This window comes from Homo sapiens, chromosome 6 (assembly GCF_000001405.40).
Source record: "Homo sapiens chromosome 6, GRCh38.p14 Primary Assembly".
NCBI classification, from domain to species: domain Eukaryota; kingdom Metazoa; phylum Chordata; class Mammalia; order Primates; family Hominidae; genus Homo; species Homo sapiens.
The window spans coordinates 108414626-108434974 of record NC_000006.12 but is presented as its reverse complement, the minus strand read 5'-3'; the positions used below and the strand labels follow the sequence as shown (position 1 = coordinate 108434974).

Here is a 20349-nt window from a genome sequence, read left to right as displayed (position 1 = left end):
AACTAACCCCAAAAATGTGGCAAGTAGCCTCATTTAGCAGGTGAGGGAGAAGATGTAGGAAAGAATGTTTCAAACTCAAGAAATATCACCTATACATCTAGAGATGCAAAAGACAGCTTAGCGAATTGGGGATCTAAAATTAGTTCAGCATAGCAAGAATGCAGAGTTCAAGCATTAGGATGCTTTCAGTTGCATGTATTCTAAGAGTGGCCCAAAATGGGGCTATAGAAGCTGGCAAGAGCTCATGTCGTAAAGAGCTTTGCAAGTTAAATATCCTAAGTCCATAAAATGGAAGTAATGTAAAGATTTAGGAAGGGAGGTGACAGGATCGGATCACTGCTCCAGAGTTGGGAAAACAATGGAGGGGGGAAGAAAACTGCATAAACATTGCTGAGTTAGCAGGTGTCAGAAAAATCTAGGAAAGATGTGAAAGTAGCCTAGAAAAGCAATAGAGTAAGGAGAGAGAGAAGTGGATAGATCAACAGAGCTTGATTGCTTTAAAGGTAAAGAATGAGGAAGAAAGAGTCAAGAAGACTGTTGGGTTTCTGGCTTAGGCAACCACATGGCTATGCCATTCAACAAAGAACTGGAGTAAGAGCAAGTGGGGGAGAGGATCATTCAGTTCGGTGGCATGGTGAATTTGAGGATCTTGGGACTTCTCTAGGTGCAGATGTCCAGCCTAGATATTAGGCTTGGCACTCTAGGAGTTGGAGCCAAGACAAAAATTCTGAGTTAGGAGCCATCAGCATAGAGCTGTAATACATTTAAATGTTAAGTCTCCATCCCAAGGTGAACATGGGTACTATGTTACATGCATGTTTGTTCAATATACATGTGTCAGAACCACATTCATAAATATTCATAGCTCCTCCTATAACCTGTTCAATATGTATATTTAGACAACCCATTCAGCATAAAGCTCCTATTCCAATTCCTGTTCCCTTTAAGTGCCTGTCTTGGTCTTTGTCAAAGGCTATGCTTCCCAGCCTGCGGGATGGCCATGTTGCAGGCTGTAACCCTTTAAAAGAAATAGTCTCTTCTTCTAAAGTTACATTTCTGTGATTTTTAAAGTTAATGTATGTGGCCGGGCACAGTGGCTCACGCCTGTAATCTCAGCAATTTGGGAGGCAGAGGCGGGCAGATCACCTGAGATCAGGAGTTCCAGACCAGCCTGGCCAACATGGTGAAACCCCATCTCTACTAAAAATACAAAAATTAGCCAGACATGGTGCCTTGTGCCTGTAATCCCAGCTACTCAGAAAGCCGAGGCAGGAGAATCGCTTGAACTGGGAAGGCAGAGGTTGCAGTGAGCTGAGATCGCGCCACTGCACTCCAGCCTGGGCAACAGAGTGAGATCCATCTCAAAAAATAAAATAATAAAATAATAAGGCTGGGCGTGGTGGTTTACACATGTAATCCCAGCACTTTGGGAGGCCGAGGTGGGTGGATTACCTAAGGTCAGGAGTTCGAGACCAGCCTGGCCAACACATAGTGAAATCCCGTCTCTACCAAAAAAAAAATACAAAAATTAGCTGGGTGTGGTGGTGCATGCCTGCAGTACCAGCTACTTGGGAAGCTGAGGCAGGAGAATTGGCTGAACCCGGGAGGCGGAGGTTGCAATGAGCTGAAGTCGCGCCACTGCACTCCAGCCTGGGCGACTGAGCAAGACTCTGTCTCTCAAAAAATAATAATAATAATAATAACAATAATAAAGTTAATGTTTGTGGTTAACTTAGTCACATGTATCAGAAGACCAATTAAATAATAAAGCAGATTTATTTGTTCACATAACTGAAAAGTCTGGGGGTATAAAACAGTTTAATCAGGGCCCTGGTTCTATTCTCTTCAAATCTGTCATTTCTGCCCTCTTCAAAGTAACAATTTCATCCCACGGCAGGATTTCCTCATAACAAAGAGAGGAGACTGAGTACTTTTCTATGTCTATAAAACGAAAGTCCTGAGCTACCCTGATTATGTTGATTGTAACCACGACAACCAGTTCCTGTAGCTTGGGGAATGGCAAAAGCTAACTGGCATAGGTGTGAATTTCCTGAACCAATGCCAGTGGCAGGGAAGATGGTAGACCAGTGGTTCTCAACACTGGCTGCCCATTAGACTCACCTGGGAAGTATCTAGAAAGTGCCAACATCCAGGCCCCACTCCCAGGCATTTCAGGGAGGAGGATTTGGTTGGCTGATTTTTTTCTGTTTTGTTTTAAGCTCCTTAGGTAATCCCAATGGGCCAGGATTGAGAACCACTGGCTTAGCCTAATCAGGCCCCATCTCTGGTCAGTTCCATCCAAACCACATGGCTACTACACAGTAGCAGAGAGTGAAATGAATTTTGGGTAGACAACTACAATGTCCACCATGGGTGGCAACTAAAGCCATAGGATCATCGAGGGCTGGTGTTTGTGATCTTAGAACCATAGAGGTAGAGATTGGTGGCAATAACTTCCTTCTGGTTTATATTTGGATAAAATAAAATGAAAAGAAAATCACCATTACTCCGCAATGGGGGTAAAGGACATAAAAGTATATGAGTAGTCCAGAACTATTTGAATAAACTGAGAAGAGTAGGGTACTGTGGAAACAAAGGACTGGTAAAGCTAAGGAAGTGTTCCAAAGCTGAAGTAGTTTAAAGAGGGCTTGAGAAAACACATAAGAATGTACAGAAGGGGTAGAAGAAGTCCTGGGTGGTGAGATACTACAGATTATTCAGTTAGACATTTCAACATCTCAAACCAGATGACCGTAAGTTATACAGTTGGGTTTCCAACCCATATTGTAAATAAGGTGACATTTTTATCTTTTTGAGGACCACTATGATTTGGAACATACCAATCTCCCTCTGAAACAAAGACTTTCTGGATATGTCACTAAAAATATTTTCAAAGTACTTAGAACCAAAAATAATAATAACCAGGCAAAGCGCCGGCACCTGATGGCATACCAGATCGAACTACAAGTGTATCACTGAAGACCAGCACAGAGAGTTGTAGGGTCTCCCTGTCAGTGTCTGGAACTCTGTGGAGGACCATGGTGCTTCAAAGACACCATCACTCTAATTATAAAAAGAAAGGTGAGGGCCGGGCTGAGCGCAATGGCTCATGCCTATAATCCCAGCACTTTGGGAGGCCGAGGCAGGTGGATCACTTGAGGTCAGGAGTTCGAGACCAGCCTGGCCAACATGGTGAAACCCCGTCTCTACTAAAAATACAAAAAATTAGCCAGGTGTGGTGGCAGGCGCCTATAATCCCAGCTACACGGGCACTTGAATCTGGGAAGAGGATGTTGCAGTGAGCTGAGATCGTGCTATTGCACTCCAGCCTGGGTTACAACAGCAAAACTCAGTCTCAAAAAAAAAAAAAAAAAAAAGCAACAAAGAAAGGTGAAACATCTGACTGTGGCAACTGCTACTGTGTAACACCAGAGGTCTTGTTCAGAATGCCAATGACTTACTTTTTCTTCCATACTCTATCTTAGACATAATAATTTCTACAAATTATTCAGACTCTTGTAAAATATAGTATTTGTAATCTTTAGAATATCAGTAAGAAATTATAAAGAATAGCCAGGCGCGGTGGCTCATGCCTGTAATCCCAGCACTTTGGGAGGCTGAGGCAGGCGGATCGCCTGAGGTCAGCAGTTCGAGACCAGCATGGCCAACATGGTGAAACCCTGTCTCTACTAAAAATACAAAAATTAGCCGGGCGTGGTGGCAGGTGCCTCTAATCCCAGCTACTCAGGAGGCTGAGGCAGAAGAAGCGCTTGAACCTGGGAGGCGGAGGTTGCAGTGAGCCAAGATCACGCCACTGCACTCCAGCCTGGGTGACATGAGCAAGACTTCGCCTCCAAAAAAAAAAGAAATTATAAAGAATAAAAATCTGTACCAACATTGTCAACTTGGTCAAGACCTTGGGTCTATTAGCATATCAGGAAACTGATGTGAATGATCTAAGGTACTAGTTTGCATTCTAATAGCTATGTGCCAGGATGCCGAGCAAGTAAGAATTGATGAAGTCTTGTCCTTATACTATTCAAATTATTTGGCATGGGAGTGGAAAATGAAACAAAAAATCCTAATGTTAATATGAAGAGTTACTTCTGTTCATCCAAACAATTTACAAAATGGTAAAATTTGAGAGAAGGGGAACTATATAGTGCTTATGTGTTTTTATCTGTTAGACAGAAAATGCCCCACTGCCTTTTAAACCAGAGAATAAATGTTTAGTCACAGTTATCTTTATAACACTGTTACAGAAGAATAAAAATAACAAGGGCAATCATTTATTGTGCAGTTAATTTTATAGCTTTAAAGATAAGATTCTTTAAAGACAGGCTCATTGGCTCCAATTTGTCAATGCATTACCTGATGTTCAAAAGGATCAAGTATTTTGATCTCTATCTGTCTAGAGTTATTAAGCCTGTTCATGGGTGTGGGAAGCAGTAGCTGAAATCAGGTTTGCAGACTATGTGCTCTTAACCACTACACATACCTCCCATGTCCAGAACAAGGCACAGAATAAAAGTTCAAAACTTCCACCACCCTTAAATATTTTGGTAATGATAATTTTGCAATAGCTTGTTGTTAATTCAATAAGTATAAGCAACACCCAATAAAATGTCCAGAGTATGATACCTCAACTTAGATGATTTCTTGTCATTTATTTATATGCCCTACTGTATTCTAGAAAGGTTAATGTGGCTTCTTAAAAAATACCATCTTATGACTGGGCACAGTGGCTCACACCTGTATTTAGCACTTTAGAGGCCAAGGCGGGTGGAACATTTGAGGTCAGGAGTTTGAGATCAGCCTGGCCAACATGGTGAAATCCTATCTCTACTAAAACCACAAAAATTAGCCGGGCGTTGTGGCGGGTACCTGTAATCCCAGCCACTCAGGAGGCTGAGGCAGGAGAACTGCTTGAACCCAGGAGGTGGAGGTTGCAGTGAGCTGAGATCGTGCCACTGCATTCCAGCCTGAGCAACACAGCGAGACTCCATCTCAAAATAAATAAATAAATACATAATAACATGACACAAACAAATGAAACTACCTCCCATGCTCATTGATTGGAAGAATCTATATTGTGAAAATGACCATACTGCTCAAAAAAAACTACAGTATTTTGAAAGGAATTGCTTTGGGCAGCAAAGCAATTTTCCACAGAATTAGAAAAAAAAATCCTAAATTCATATGGAATCAAGAAAGAGCCCTAATAGCCAAAGCAATCCTAGACAAAAAGAACAAATCTGGGGGTATCACATTACTCAGATTCAAATTATACTGCAAGGCTATAGTAACCAAAACAGCATGGTACTGGTATAAAAGTAGATACACAGACCAATGGAACAGAACAGAGAACCCAAAAATAAAGCCAAATGCTTACATCTAGCTGATCTTTGACAAAGTATACTGATATGGTTTGGCTGTGTCCCCACCCAAATCTCATCTTGAATTGTAGCTCCCATAATTCCCACGTGTGGAAAGGACCTGGTGGGAGGAAATTGAGTCATGGGGATGGGTCTTTCCCGTGTTCTTCCTGTGGTAGTGAATAAGTCTCCACAAGATCTGATGGTTTTATAAAGGAGAGTTCCCCTACACAAGTTCTTCTTGCCTGGCACCATGTAAAATATGACTTTGCTCGTCATTCGCCTTCAGCCATGATTGTGAGGCCTCCCCAGTCATGTGGAAGTGTGAGTCAAACCTCTTTCCTTTATAAATTACCTAGTCTCGGGTATGTCTTTATTAGCAGCATGAGAACAGACTAATACACATATAAAAATATAAGTTGGGGAAAGGACACACTATTCAATAAATGGTGCTGGGAAAACTGGATAGCTACAGGTGGAAGAATAAAACTGGATCCCTATCCCTTACCTTATACAAAAGTCAACTCAAGATGGTTTGAAAACTTAAACCACAAACATTCTAGAAGAAAGCCTAGAAAAAACTCTTCTGGACATTGGCATAGGGAAAGAATTTATGACTAAGACCCCAAAAGCAAGTACAGCAAAAACAAAAATAAATAAATGGTACCTAAACTAAAAAGCTTCTAAACAGCAAAGGAAATAATCATTAGAGTAAACAGACAACCCATAAACTATGTGTCTAACAAGGACTAATATCCAGAATATACAAGGAAGACAAGCAAATCAGAAAGAAAAAAACAAATAATCTCATCAAAAGTTGAAAAATAACACGAATAGACACTTCTCAAAAGAAGATATACAAATGGACAACAAACATATGGAAAAATGCTCAGTATCACTAACTGCCAGGGATATGCAAATTAAAACCACAATGAGGTACCACCTTACCCCAGCCAGAATGGCCATTACTAAAAAGTCAAAAAACAATAGATGTCAGTGTAAATGTGGTAAAAAGGAAACTCTTATACACTGCTCGTGGGAATGTAAATTACTACAACATCTATGGAAAATAACATACAGATTTCAGAGAACTAAAAGTAGATCTACCGTTCTATCCAGCAATCCCACTATTGGGTATCTAGCCAAAGGAAAAGAAACCATTACATCAAAAAGACACCTCCATGCATATGTTTATCACAGCACAATTCACAATTGCAAACATGGAGAACTAATCTAAGTGCCCACTGACCAATGAGTGGATAAAGAAAATGTGGTATATATATACACCATGGAATGCTACTCAGCCATTAAAAAGAATTAAATAATGTCTTTTGCAGCAACTTGGATGGAGGTAAAGGCCATTATTCCAAGTGAAGTAACTCAGGAATAGAAAACCAAATACCACATGTTCCCACTTACAAGTGGGAGCTAAGCTATCAGCATGCAAAGCATAGACAGTGATATAATGGACATTAGAGACTCAGAAGATGGAGTGGTTATAGAGGGGTGAGTATAAAAAACTACATATTGGGTACAATGTATGCTACTCAGATGATGGGTACACTAAAATCTCAAACTTCACCACTATACAATTCATTCATGTAACCAAAAATCACTTGTACCCCAAAAGCTACTGAAATACAAATATATAATAACTTTTTAGAAATGTATTTTATAACTTAATTTTTAATGTTAGCTAATACACAAGTAAAGAGCAATATGACAAAATCCAGCAAAGTTTTAATTACAAGAGCCTTTGACCTAGAAATTCCATTTTGAGGCCGGGGTGGTGGCTCACGCCTGTAATCCCAGCACTTTGGGAGGCCAAGGTAGGTGGATCACTTGAGGTCAAGAGTTCAAGATCAGCCTTACCAACATGGTGAAACCCTGTCTCTACTAAAAATACAAAAATTAACCGGGTATGGTGGCGTTCACCTGTAGTCCCAGCTACTCAGGAGGCTGAGGCAAGGGAATTGCTTGAGTCCGGGAGGCAGAGTTTGCAGTGAGCCAAGATTATGCCACTGCACTCCAACCTGGGTGACAGAGCAAGACTCCAACTCAAAAAAAAAAAAAAAAAAAAAATTCCATTTTGAGAAATCTAACCTACAGAAATATTGGCTCGTATGCACTAAAAACACATTTGCAAACATATTTTTAAGGCATTACTTTAAAAGTAAACTAAACTAGAATAAACCTAAGTATACAAAAATAGCAGATTAGTTTTAAAATAATAATGCAGCCATTTAAAACTGAGAGTGGCAGGTAAGAGAATTATATAACGCCACGGGTTTGAGACCAGCCTGGGCAACATAGCAAGACACCATCTCTACAGAAAATAAAAAAGTTAGCCAAGTGTGTAGTCCTGGCTACTCAGAAGGCTGAGGCAGAAGGATCACTTGAGCCCAGGAGATGGAGTCTGTAGTGAGCTATGATCACACCACTGCACTCTAGCCTGGGCAATAGGGAAAGACACCGTCTCCAAAAAGATAAATAAATAAAAATTAAAAAATTAAAAATGAGATTGAATTATATCTAATATCAAAAGATCTTTAGGATATCTCTGGGGATAAAAGTATAACTCAGACTAAGGTATATATATTACCCTCATTAACTTACAACAAAACAAAACTATATGTTTGGACATATATATAGATATGTATGCACATAAATGTAAAGAAAAATGCTTGAAAAGATACAAACTAAATTTTTAATAGTGGCTACTCCTGGGGAGGGAAGTAGGAATGAGGTGGAGTAGAAGGTGGAGGAGGGATGGGAAGAGGGAAGAGTGGTGAAGGGGGAGTTTTAATATTTAGTTTATATATTTATGTGATGTTGGCATTTGTTAGCCTATCATGCATTCATTTAACTCTTATGAAAATTTACAAAAGGAAAGATCTTTGAGTATTGTCCCCAAAGACTGGTGCTGGTGCTGGGAAAAAGCTGATAGCTGTCTTATGGAAATCACATCCATTATACATTTCCAACTCTGTCATAACAAACAGAATTTTAATTAATATTCCATTCTTCTCCCACTGTTTACCTTATCCAAGAAAATCAGAGTCCTCATTCCTAGGGAGAAAAAGAAAAGAAAAGTAGAAGAGTGGCACACCACAGGCTGCAAAGAAGTTGAAATGTGCACTTTTTGAGGATCTTTTTTATAACTATACTACCAAACACACAACTGCAGCTCCTGTAAGCTTTAATTTTCTCCCACAGAAAGGAACTATGCAATACAGCTTCAAGCTAATAGGAAGTTCCCACTATACATGCAGCTTTGCAAAATTAGTTTTTCAACATCCAGTAAATTTACCCACAAGATTTTTTCTTCTTCTGTATAAATAATCATAGGTAAGCATAACTTTTCTAACTAAAAAAAAAAGTGCACTATAATTACACAAAGCCCATAAGGCATATGATTCATTTACACTGTAATTACCACTCTGGAATAACCAAGAAAAAGAATATCTCAATAAAATATTTAGCTTAAAAAATGACCCCTACCCATTTACAGAGGCTTCATTATTTAGAGTTTTAGTATCCAGGATAGCATTTATAAATATTCTAAACTTTGGTTCTGTTCTTTCTTCATTGTATTTGCTCAACTTTTTGTCATTTCACTGCTTATTAGTACCTTTATCTGAAGATGAAAAGAGACAAATTTAGTCACTCTTAACAATAGTCAATTGTTATCGCTGATAAAAGATCTGAAGAGTAAATTTTAAGCTATTATCTAAAACAGTATCTGGATATCACTATATTTAACTTACCATTGTGTATGACTAAAGCTAGATTAATAAGATAGATTATACTTTTATATAAAAGAAAGATAAAGAGTTCCTTATCAATAAGAGCAATTGGGAATATAATTAATTCCACCTAAAGACAATAAGGTATGCAATATGTAAATATAGTGAATATATGTATATATGTGTATGTATATATGTCTTCATACATACACATACACACACACATATTGTGCAACATGGTTTGGCGGAAAGAGCTCTCAATAAAAACTAGGAAATCTGGATTGTAGACCTGGCTCTGCTGCTATCCAGGCAATCTTAGGTAAGATGATCTCAGGCATGAGCCTCAGTCGCCTCCACTGTATAATAAGGTGGTGGGATAAGTGTTTCTAAAGAGCCTTCAAATTCTGTGAGTATACACATACACACACACACACACATACACTATTTATAGGTAAGGCTGGTACTCACTAGCATACACCAGTATGGGGCAACTGATCACAACCCAGCATCTGCTATGTTTGGTCTGTCAATGCTATACCAGTTTTTAAAAAGTGTGAACAACCATCCTTATTTACAAGCATTCTTAAATTATAAAATGTCTACCATGTGTAACCCTCTGTTTGTATTCTGCCTTCTACACACAGTGACATTCCAGGAGTTAAAAAGGCTCTCTTAACCTCTGGTTACAACCTAGAGTGCCATCCCTTTCCCACTGCCCACCCTCAAAAAGAGTTTCTACATATGCCTTGCTCTGTATTTCTCAGCTGTCACTATGCATAACTTATTCAGTTCTACGTCAGGTAACTTCTTCTGTATACACTGAAACATTTTTAGCTTTCTTCCTCTGCTCTTTCTGTCTCCCTTCTAAGCTTTGTCCAGTTTTCTTAGGAAATCTCCATTTCATTCCAGTATCATAAGCATGACTATTAAACCAAGAGTGATGGCAGTGATACATTTATATAAAGAAAACAAAAGGCAAAACAAAACTCCAGTTTCATCAACCTCTGAAACTTGTAAACACATACAGGAGTCCTTTCAAAATTCACAAACATTACTATCTCATCCTTTCCTCCTCCACAATTACCAGCATCACAGAGGGAGAAAACGTATTTAAAAGTTGTGCTTTTAATTTAATATATTGCAATTTACATAATTGCTAGTATTATAACCTCCCACCACACAGCTAACCACTTCTAACTCATTCTCTATTATATATATTACAATATATCTCTAACATTATAATATTTTTATATGCTATATAATAATCATTTTTTGTCTACTTCCCCTACTAGAACATCCTAATTTCCCTGATGGCAGGATTCAACTCAGTAACACATTTATCATTGTAACCCCAATGACTAAGCCCTTCGTAAATGCATGTTGAAATCTAACTATTGCTTTCTTCTACTTCATTTTACAAGAGTATAATAATATGAGCTATTTGGGGCAATTAGGCTTTTGTAGACTAGGTAGCCTAAGACTTTATTATCATATTTAGAACACTATTTGAGGGAGAAATCTATCATAGTTTAAAAGAAATAATTTATAAGTAAACTTCTGAAACTTAATCTTTTTGAAAATAAATAGCTTCATGAGAGCCTTAGCAACCTTGTAGTCCAATCCCATCATTTACAGAGGAAATGAGCTCACACAGGTTTAAGAGGCTTGCCAGTGACAGAGCAAAGTCAGTGACAGAGCCAGGTCCACAAAGATTGCCTTCTCATCCCATTGATTTTTCTGTTACATCATGGAAACCAGAAAAAAAGAAAAGTGTGATGTGATTGTGTAGTTTGTATATATACATATACTAACACACACACATACATGCATGCATATTACATATATATTCCACATTCTTCTACTTTCAGTTAATAATTATAAAGATTTAAGTTATTTTAAACAGTATGTCAGAGTTTATTCAGTTAATCAACTATGTATTTATAATACATGAATCCTATCAATCATAATTGGCTAAGGAATACATGATAAGGATTTCCACATACATTTAGAGACAAATTACAAAGTTCACATTTAATAAAAACCAAACTATCAGTAGTTAGTGTTCAAATTGTATATTCTGATGAGTATATTCTGATTACACATTAATAAGTCCTTTTATGTATTCTAACTTAAATGTTAGTACTCATTTTGTTCTTATTACTTGTATATGCTTGTGTATATATTTAGAGGTGACACTGTCCCAATAACCTATATATACTATTTAACGCAACTTAAAAATGGGAGGTGTAGATACAGTCAATAGTAAATAAATATACAATGTATTTTGTACCAAGCACCCCTAATATAATATAATTTTGATACAGAAAAACTAAATTCACTATGGCAGAAGAAGATTTCTTAGATATCTTGAAGCCCTAAAAACTTAAGCCAAACTATTGTTCAATGTGCACACAGTTTGTGTCTTCATGCTCAGATGTTGTTGAAACAGCAGACTTAAAAGAAATAATGTCAATGAATCCTACCAAGCACTATACATGACCTCTGGGGTAATTAGCAATCATTCAAAAGCAACAAGACTAAAATGTTCTATTCTTTATTACTGTCAGCTCTTATCTTGATCAGCATTTTAATAAAGATGGTTCGTTTCTAAGACAGTTTCATGAATCAGTCATAATTACATTCTGACATGCAGTGAATAGTAAAGCAAAACTAAATATCACTTCATCAACCTTTCTAACCTTTATGCAAGTATTAACTGTAAATAATTTTTACACAGTCCTACAACAGAAAATCTGCATATTTCTTAGCTTTGTGCATACTTTACCCCAAATGAATTTCCTGTGACCTATACCTGAAAAACACAATCAGCCATAATTATCCAGTTTTGTGAGATGTTCAGGTGTTGCCTTTCAGAGTTCAAATCAACTTCAAGTATAAAAGGCTACTTTATTCTACAAATGGCACAATATGCAAAATGGGTTAAGTAGCCAAAAGCATCTCAGAGCATTGTGGCTTGAAAGAAGTCTATCCAGAATCAAAACGTCATAGTAAAACTACTCTAAAGCAGGGCAATGCTTATAAAAATAGCTTCACAGATTACACATTAAGGAATGGATCATGGATGACTACTGCAGAAAGTCCTATAATTAAAATACGTTAAAAGAATAATATTAATTAGACGGAAACCTGAGCACTGAAGTATTTGAAGGGTAGATTTTTTTAAACGTAGTTTCAAAGTAGCTAATAAAGAGATTGAACATTTATCAGAATTATAAAACTTACTTAGAGATGCTATTCTGATATTGAGGATAATATACAAATTATTTCAGCACCTCCTTCCCCCAACAAAATACTTGATTTACTTTAGATTCTGAAATAGAGCATTTCTTCTTCTTTTTTTTTTTTTTTTTTTTTTGCTGAGGACTAATTTTAAAAAAATATTTTGGATAGACAAAGTGAACATAATTCAACTGCCAGAAAAAGTTGATAACTGCATTTTAGGTGACTTATTGTTTCAGTGCTTCAGAAAATTTCAAAATAAATGCAATGCTTTCTCAAACTCCTGAGCTCAAGTAATCCACCTGCCTCAGAATAAATGCAATGCTTTCTCAAGAATAATTTCTTGACTTCCCAGTAGTGGATATCGGACAAATTAACTATTCTGGACACAGGTTCTCAAACCTATGTTTTAACTATGCCTCTTGCATAAACAAAGTTTGCAGTAAAGCTACTAATATTTTTAACCAAACTGATTTCCACTTAAAAACTTAAATTCTGTGAAACAGTAACCTACTTACCATTTTACTTTGTATAATTTCAATTTGAAAACAAGTTCTTTCCAAAAACAATCTAAAATTATTCCCTATATGTTTTCTTATATTTTCTATTATAAAACAACTTTACTAGAATGTTACTGATTTAAAGGCAAAAGGGAATATAGCAAGCATCTTTTTCATGTGGGATTAAAAAATGCATACATCTTTTATGTGATAATTTTTGTTTAACTTTTCCATTTAGCTTTCTTAAGCATGATTCCCATCTCTTATTGGAGGTGCAAGCAAAGAAGAAAAAAGAAGTGTTGATTTAAGAAAACAGATTTCCCAGAAAGAAAAAAAACTGAGATTAAGGTTTAAACAAAAGCTAAAGATGGCTTCCTCTGAGCCCTGATGAGGTCCGCTACCTCATTACGAACAACTGAAAACTTGTGATGCATTTTGTTTCAAGAGAATCCAAAAGTCCTTGGTCTAAAGCAGACAGGGGGGGTGCAGGGTCCATTCACTCTGTCTGTATCACAACCATTATGTAAAAAGTATAAAACACTGCCTTTATGCTGCCAAGCCACAATGACTCTTCCTACATCAAAGGATTTTCACCACTAGGGTTTTTTTCTTCAAAATTTATTCAAGCTAAGGGCAGAGAGACAACGATTCATACACGCTAATTACGCCTAATTATCTATTCCCTTTTCTGACCAGCTTCGGCCAGTGTTATTTGGTATCTGGATTTCTCACAACCTCCCTTTGCCCTGTCCATCCAGCCCAACAGTGAAGGCTTTGAAGAAAACAGTTGTGGCTTTTTAGAGTTTCCTCAATATAGAGTTCAAGCAAATTAAATAATGATTCTGTTAGTTTTGACACATTTATGCGTTCAATATGAGGACCTCTTGGTTAATTTGGCAAATTCCTCACATCTCTTCATGGTTGGAATCATAGTAACACCCTCTCTTACAGGAGCTTCTCCTCATGCTTTCTTTTCATGATCTAAATGAAATGTTTATTGGATTAAAGTTCTTCTCTGCAGACCTCCATGGTGGCCTATGACAAAGAGCTTAAAAGTTCTATTAATTGGCTTGAGTTTTCAGGGAGGGGAAAGGGAGAATTTTATTTCACATTACATCACTAGCCAAGAAAATTGCCACGTGTAATTAAACTAATTTATCTCATCATTCAAAGAACTAGCTAATCCATATTTAAGACACACTTCCTTTAAGCCATTTTTGTCATCAAATAATTGATATCTTGTGATTTAACCAAAAATAACTATTTATTGTTCTAAGAGAAGAGAATTCAAGTCCTAAACAGTATATATTTTACATGTAAGCAATAGCTTGTTTTTTTCCAGATAACTACAAATATATAATTTACATATGTCGCGAAAAATCTTTATTTTTATTTTATATGAGATAATTAGAGAAAATATTTTAAAAGGCATACACCTAAAATTACTTTTCTATAGATAGGCCCTGACTAATACAAGGTCTACATTCTGTTATGAAGATGGAAAAGGACTGTATTTTAAATCCACATCACAACCATTTTCATCTTAGATATTTATTAATTGCAACGACACAGCACAAAAACACCATTACAAATAAAACTTTAGTGCCTGTTACTACAGCCAATTTTCTTAAATAAATTTTTCCAAACATATATGGAATATATGTTTTAATATATTTAATATTAAATATATTTTTATTTTTTAATAAAATAAAAATATATTTTTATTTAATTTAATAAATTAAATAAATTTAATAAAATATCTTGGGTAGATTTCCTAGACTTAGACTAAAACTTGATAATTTTAGAAATATTTTACCACATACAGTTTGTGGGGGAAAGCAACAACTCTTTCCAATTCAGGAGTTGTCTGCTACTTTTGTTCTGTCTTTTGTTTCTTTCAATCTTAAGTATTAAAAAGCCAACTCATAAGTAAAGACATTATCACACTAACAAAGGGTTAATCCCTGCAAGGCTGACTCAGGTGACAACGCAGTAGAGGTCATAGAGGCTGACTGACACTGACCTCAAAGGCTGATTCTGATTATTTAGCACTCTGAAAGCTCTGGTATTGAAAGTTACAATGAACAAACTGACAAATCAATTTCACCAATGAAATGAAAACTGTGGCAGGAAAAATGGCAAATATACATTTATTTAGCAAGTCTATAAATCCTAATGCAGATGGCTGGACAAAGGCTGAACACTGAAGCATTTTATCTAAGGGTTATAATCAAACAAGTTTTCTAAAGTTTGTAGCTGGAAATCACACCATGGGAATATTCTAGTTTACTATCAGGAAAAATTTTCTTATCATTGGAAAAATTTTCTCAGGAAATAAAAACATAAAAACTAATATATCACTTAATTTTTTTAAGTTTTATGTAAAGGATGCACAACAGTCAAGAAACATGAACAACCAAGTAAAAGATATGATGTCATTACCTGAACATTAAACAAATTACAAAAGTAGCAATAATAAGAACAAAATTGTTACTACCTCACATTATAAAGTATCACTTCTTTATGTTACATATTTAAACCGAACAAATAAATCAGATAGTGATGCCTTCCAAATGGGCAACTCTTTATTAGGAAAAGGAAAATTCATATTTATAAGAGTTAATGCTGGAATTATTTTTCTCTAATCGAACCATCTGAAATTCATCAAGAGAAAATTCTATTGTAGAATGCCTTGTTGGTTATTTTTCACCAGTTTAGTTATCATTCAGTAATCTAATCATCAAACATTTAATTTTAAGAAGAAATTTAAAAGTTAAGAAAGAAGATAGCATGCTAAGCTGTCATTGTGAATGAGAATCAAAGTGCTAAATTACTGATATTAAGATCTATCATTGTGTGCAAAAACACTACATACAATCTTGCACAGGAACATTTCCCCTGGGGAGATTATTTTAGATTATTTCACACTGTTAAACTGATTAAGAAAATCATAAAAAGAAAGCTAATGAAATTCACATTGAAAATTTTTTTAACCTTAAAACTTATGAATAGCATTTATCTCTTTTAGGGTTCATTATGGAATGAAACAAACTAAATGGTTTATGAAAGTGTAAGTGATGGAGTAAACAGACAGATTTTTACCCAAATGGAAAAATTTGTGTAAAATATCATGAATTGCTGGACCTTGATCAGATGAGAATAGCAATGCTTGCCAGGCAATCTAATCTTCAAGAAGGCTAGTAATAGTAAATTGAAAGTAACCTAATAAACTATTCTTCTGTTCAAAATATCAACTGGTTCCCTTTTCCTTTTAACCACACTAATTTTAAATAATGTTTACAAATGCAGTGAGATTATACTCCATAAATATTGTTCAGTGAATGTACATTTAAGATATATTATTCCTTTTAAATGTATGAAATTGAAGATATTTCTAAGAAAGTTGATCCTAACAAAGCTGATATTTCTCAAGTTACTAAATTATCTGAAATTGATACCGAATCACTATCTTTGCTTTTGGTTCACTCACCAAGCTTCCTCCCTTCGATCAACCATTTATCCAGCAAGCTCTTGGAATGCCCCTTTCTCCAAGACCTACTAATAAATCTATGCTGACACAGGATTTTCATCACATAAAACAAGTCATACTTCATAGAAAAAAAAGGTGCTATTGACATATGTCGTTTTAAGCAATTGTTTGCCCTTTGTATATTATATAGATCAGGGCCAGCAAACTTCCTGTAAAGGGTCAGATACTAAATATGTTAGGCTTTGAAAGCCGTAAGTCTCCACTGCAGCCACTCAACTCTGCAACTGTACTCCAAAAAGAGCCATAGGTAATACATAAATATATGAGCATAAAATTTTTCAATAAAACTTGATTTATAAAAACAGGCAGCAGGCCAGATTTGGCCACTGGCTATAGTTTGTCCACCCTGGTATAAACTATCACAGGCTACTTTAAAATACTTTCAGTGCAGAGGGTAAAATGAATGCCTTTAACTTTATAAAATGATGCTATATAGATACCAACAAATGCTTTAACAATTATATTTGTCTTTGGGAGGCCGAGGCAGGTGGATCTTGAAGTCAGGAAATTGAGACCATCCTGGCTAACATGATGAACCCCCGTCTCTACTAAAAATACAAAAAATTAGCTGGCGTGGTGGCAGGCACCTGTAGTCCCAGCTACCCGGGAGGCTGAGGCAGCAGAATGGCGTGAACCCGGGAGGTGGAGCTTGCAGTGAGCCGAGATTGCACCACTGCACTCCAGCCTGGGCGACAGAGTGAGACTCCATCTCAAAAAAATATAAATAAAATAAAATAAAACAATTATATTTGTTCTTATACTTTAGGAGAATTACCTAAGTTTTATTAATATTGGTAAAATAAAGATACTATGTCATATGATCAGAAGGAAATTTCAAGTTAAAGTACAGACTTATTGAAGGAGGCACAATTATTACAATTACAACCAAGAGAAAAAGAATTACCTAAATTTTTCTATTTAAATACAATACAAAACATATCTTGCTTTTATTTGGAGAAAAATCTGAGTTTTAAATAAATCTGCCAACCTCAAGTAAACAGACTAGTGACAGTTATTTTATGAAAATTATTTTTCTCAATGAACTGATTACTGAAAATAAAATTTTTAATTACAGTTCTCATACTTCTATGTCTTTTCCCTGCATGGTAAACGTCCTTTCCCACTTTTCTTGGTAACTTAATTGTCTTTTAAGTCTCAGTTTAAGCATCATCGGCTCTTTGGAAAAATACTCCTGACATGTGCTACCTCCTCCACTCAAACTGCCAGTGTGGGTCAGGGCCCCTTTTCTTTTTCTTTTTTTCCCCGTTTTTTTTTTGTGTGTGTGTGTGTGTGTGTGCGTGTCTGTGTGTGTGTGTGTGTGTGTGTGTTTAAGACAATGTCTTGCTCTGTCGCCCACGCTGGAATCCAGTGGTGCAATCGTGGCTTACTGCAGCCTGGAACTCCTGGGCTCAAGCAATCCTCCCACCTCAGCTTCCTAAGTAGCTGGGACCACAGGCATGCACCACCATGCCTGACTAAATTTTTTATTTTTTTGTAGAGATGAGGTCTTGCCATGTTGCCCAGGCTGATCTCAAACTCCTCAAGCAATCCTCCAACCTCAGTCTCCCAAAGCACTGGGATTACAGGTCTGAGCCACCACACCCAGCCCAGGCCCCTTTATTTATTTATTTATTATTATTATTATACTTTAAGTTCTAGGGTACATGTGCACAACATGCAGGTTTGTTACCTATCTATACATGTGCCAAGTTGGTGTGCTGCACCCATTAACTCGTCATTTACATTAGGTATATCTCCTAATGCTATCCCTCCCCTCTCCCCACACCGCATGACAGGCCCCAGTGTGTGATGTTCCTCACCCTGTGTCCAAGTGTTTGCATTGTTCAATTCCCACCTATGAGTGAGAACATGCAGTGTTTGGTTTTCTGTCCTTATGATAATTTGCTCAGAATGATGGTTTCCAGCTTCATCCATGTCCCTACAAAGGACATGAACTCATCCTTTTTTATGGCTGCATAGTATTCCATGGTGTATATGTGCCACATTTTCTTAATCCGGTCTATCATTGATGGACATTTGGGTTGGTTCCAAGTCTTTGCTCTTGTGAATAGTGCTGCAATAAACATATGTGTGCATGTGTCTTTATAGCAGCATGATTTATAATCCTTTGGGTATATGCCCAGTAATGGGATGGCTGTGTCAAATGGTATTTCTAGTTCTAGATCCTTGAGGAATCGCCACACTGTCTTCCACAATGGTTGAACTAGTTTACAGTCCCACCAACAGTGTAAAAGCATTCCTATTTCTCCACATCCTCTCCAGCACCTGTTGTTTCCTGACTTTTTAATGATTGCCATTCTAAAACTGGTATGAGATGGTATCTCTTTGTGGTTTGGATTTGCATTTCTCTCGTGGCCAATGATGATGAGCATTTTTTCATGTGTCTGTTGGTTGCATAAATGTCTTCTTTTGAGAAGTGTCTGTTCATATCCTTCACCCACTTTTTGATGGGGTTGTTTGACTTTTTCTTGTAAATTTGTTTGAGTTCTTTGTAGATTCTGGATATTAGCCCTTTGTCAGATGAGTAGATTGCAAAAATTTCCTCCCATTCTGTAGGTTGCCTGTTCACTCTGATGGTAGTTTCTTTTGCTGTGCAGAAGCTCTTTAAGTTTAATTAGATCCCATTTGTCAATTTTGGCTTCTGTTGCCATTGCTTTTGGTGTTTTAGACGTGAAGTCCTTGCCCATGCCTATGTCCTAAATGGTATTGCCTAGGTTTTCTTCTAGGTTTTTATGGTTTTAGGTCTAACATTTAAGTCTTTAATCCATCTTGAATTAATTGTTGTATAAGGTGTAAGGAAGGGATCCAGTTTCAGCTTTCTACATATGGCTAGCCAGTTTTCCCAGCACCATTTATTAAATAGGGAAACCTTTCCCCATTTCTTGTTTTTGTCAGGTTTCTCAAAGATCAGATGGTTGCAGATGTGTGGAATTATTCCCGGGGGCTCTATTCTGTTCCATTGGTCTGTATATCTGTTTTGGTACCAGCACCATGCTGTTTTGGTTACTGTAGCCTTGTAGTATAGTTTGAAGTCAGGTAGCGTGATGCCTCCAGCTTTGTTCTTTTGGCTTAGGGTGTCTTGGCAATGTGGGCTCTTTTTTGATTCCATATGAACTTTAAAGTAGTCTTTTCCAATTCTGTGAAGAAAGTCATTGGTAGCTTGATGGGGTGGCATTGAATCTATAAATTACCTTGGGCAGTATGGCCATTTTCACGATATTGATTCTTCCTATCCATGAGCATGGAATGTTCTTCCAATTTGTTTGTGTCCTCTTTTATTTAGTTGAGCAGTGGTTTGCAGTTCTCCTTGAAGAGGTCCTTCACATCCCTTGTCAGTTGGATTCCGAGGTATTTTATTATCTTTGAAGCAACTGTGAATGGGAGTTCACTCATAATTTGGCTCTCTGTTTGTCTGTTATTGGTGTAGAGGAATGCCTGTGATTTTTGCACATTGATTTTGTATCCTGAGACTTTGCTGAAGTTGCTTATCAGCTTAAGGAGATTTTGGGCTGAGACGATGGGGTTTTCTAAATATACAATCATGTCATCTGCAAACAGGGACAATTTGACTTCCTCTTTTCCTAATTGAATACCCTTTATTTCTTTCCCTTGCCTGATTGCCCTGGCCAGAACTTCTAACACTATGTTGAATAGAAGTGGTGAGAGAGGGCATCCCTGTCTTGTGCCAGTTTTCAAAGGGAATGCTTCCAGTTTTGCCCATTCAGTATGATATTGGCTGTGGGTTTGTCATAAATAGCTCTTATTATTTTGAGATACATCCCATCAATACCTAGTTTATTGAGAGTTTTTAGCAAGAAGAGCTATTGAATTTTGTCAAAGGCCTTTTCTGCAACTATTGAGATAATCATGTGGTTTTTGTCTTTGGTTCTATTTATGTGATGGATTACTTTTATTGA

At 36.7% G+C, this 20349-nt stretch overlaps 1 protein-coding gene across 12 annotated transcripts in view, besides 1 other annotated feature; it reads right to left on the bottom strand.

Annotated features, from left to right (window-relative positions):
* AFG1L (AFG1 like ATPase) overlaps positions 1–20349 on the bottom strand; it is a 230948-nt gene that overhangs the window by 91027 nt on the left and 119572 nt on the right. The window contains exons 8-9 of one of the 12 annotated variants that reach the window (XR_007059229.1): positions 8877–9012; positions 8416–8444 (exon numbers count right to left, since the gene is read on the bottom strand). The exons of 10 other annotated variants lie outside the window; for them this stretch is intronic. Coding sequence is in view for 1 of the 2 variants with exons in the window: in XM_011535659.4 (XP_011533961.1) it covers positions 8974–9012 (39 nt within the window). In the remaining variant the exon portion in view is untranslated. Of the gene's footprint in view, positions 1–8415; positions 8445–8465; positions 9013–20349 lie in introns of those variants that run through there. One more of the 12 variants, XM_011535659.4, reaches the window with a different exon arrangement.
* Positions 14783–14983: a silencer, noted in NCBI's record as "peak6014 fragment used in MPRA reporter construct". NCBI's record gives its function as "represses an SCP1 promoter by STARR-seq MPRAs in K562 erythroleukemia cells {active_cell/tissue: K562}" and the evidence as "EXISTENCE:reporter gene assay evidence [ECO:0000049][PMID:32103011]".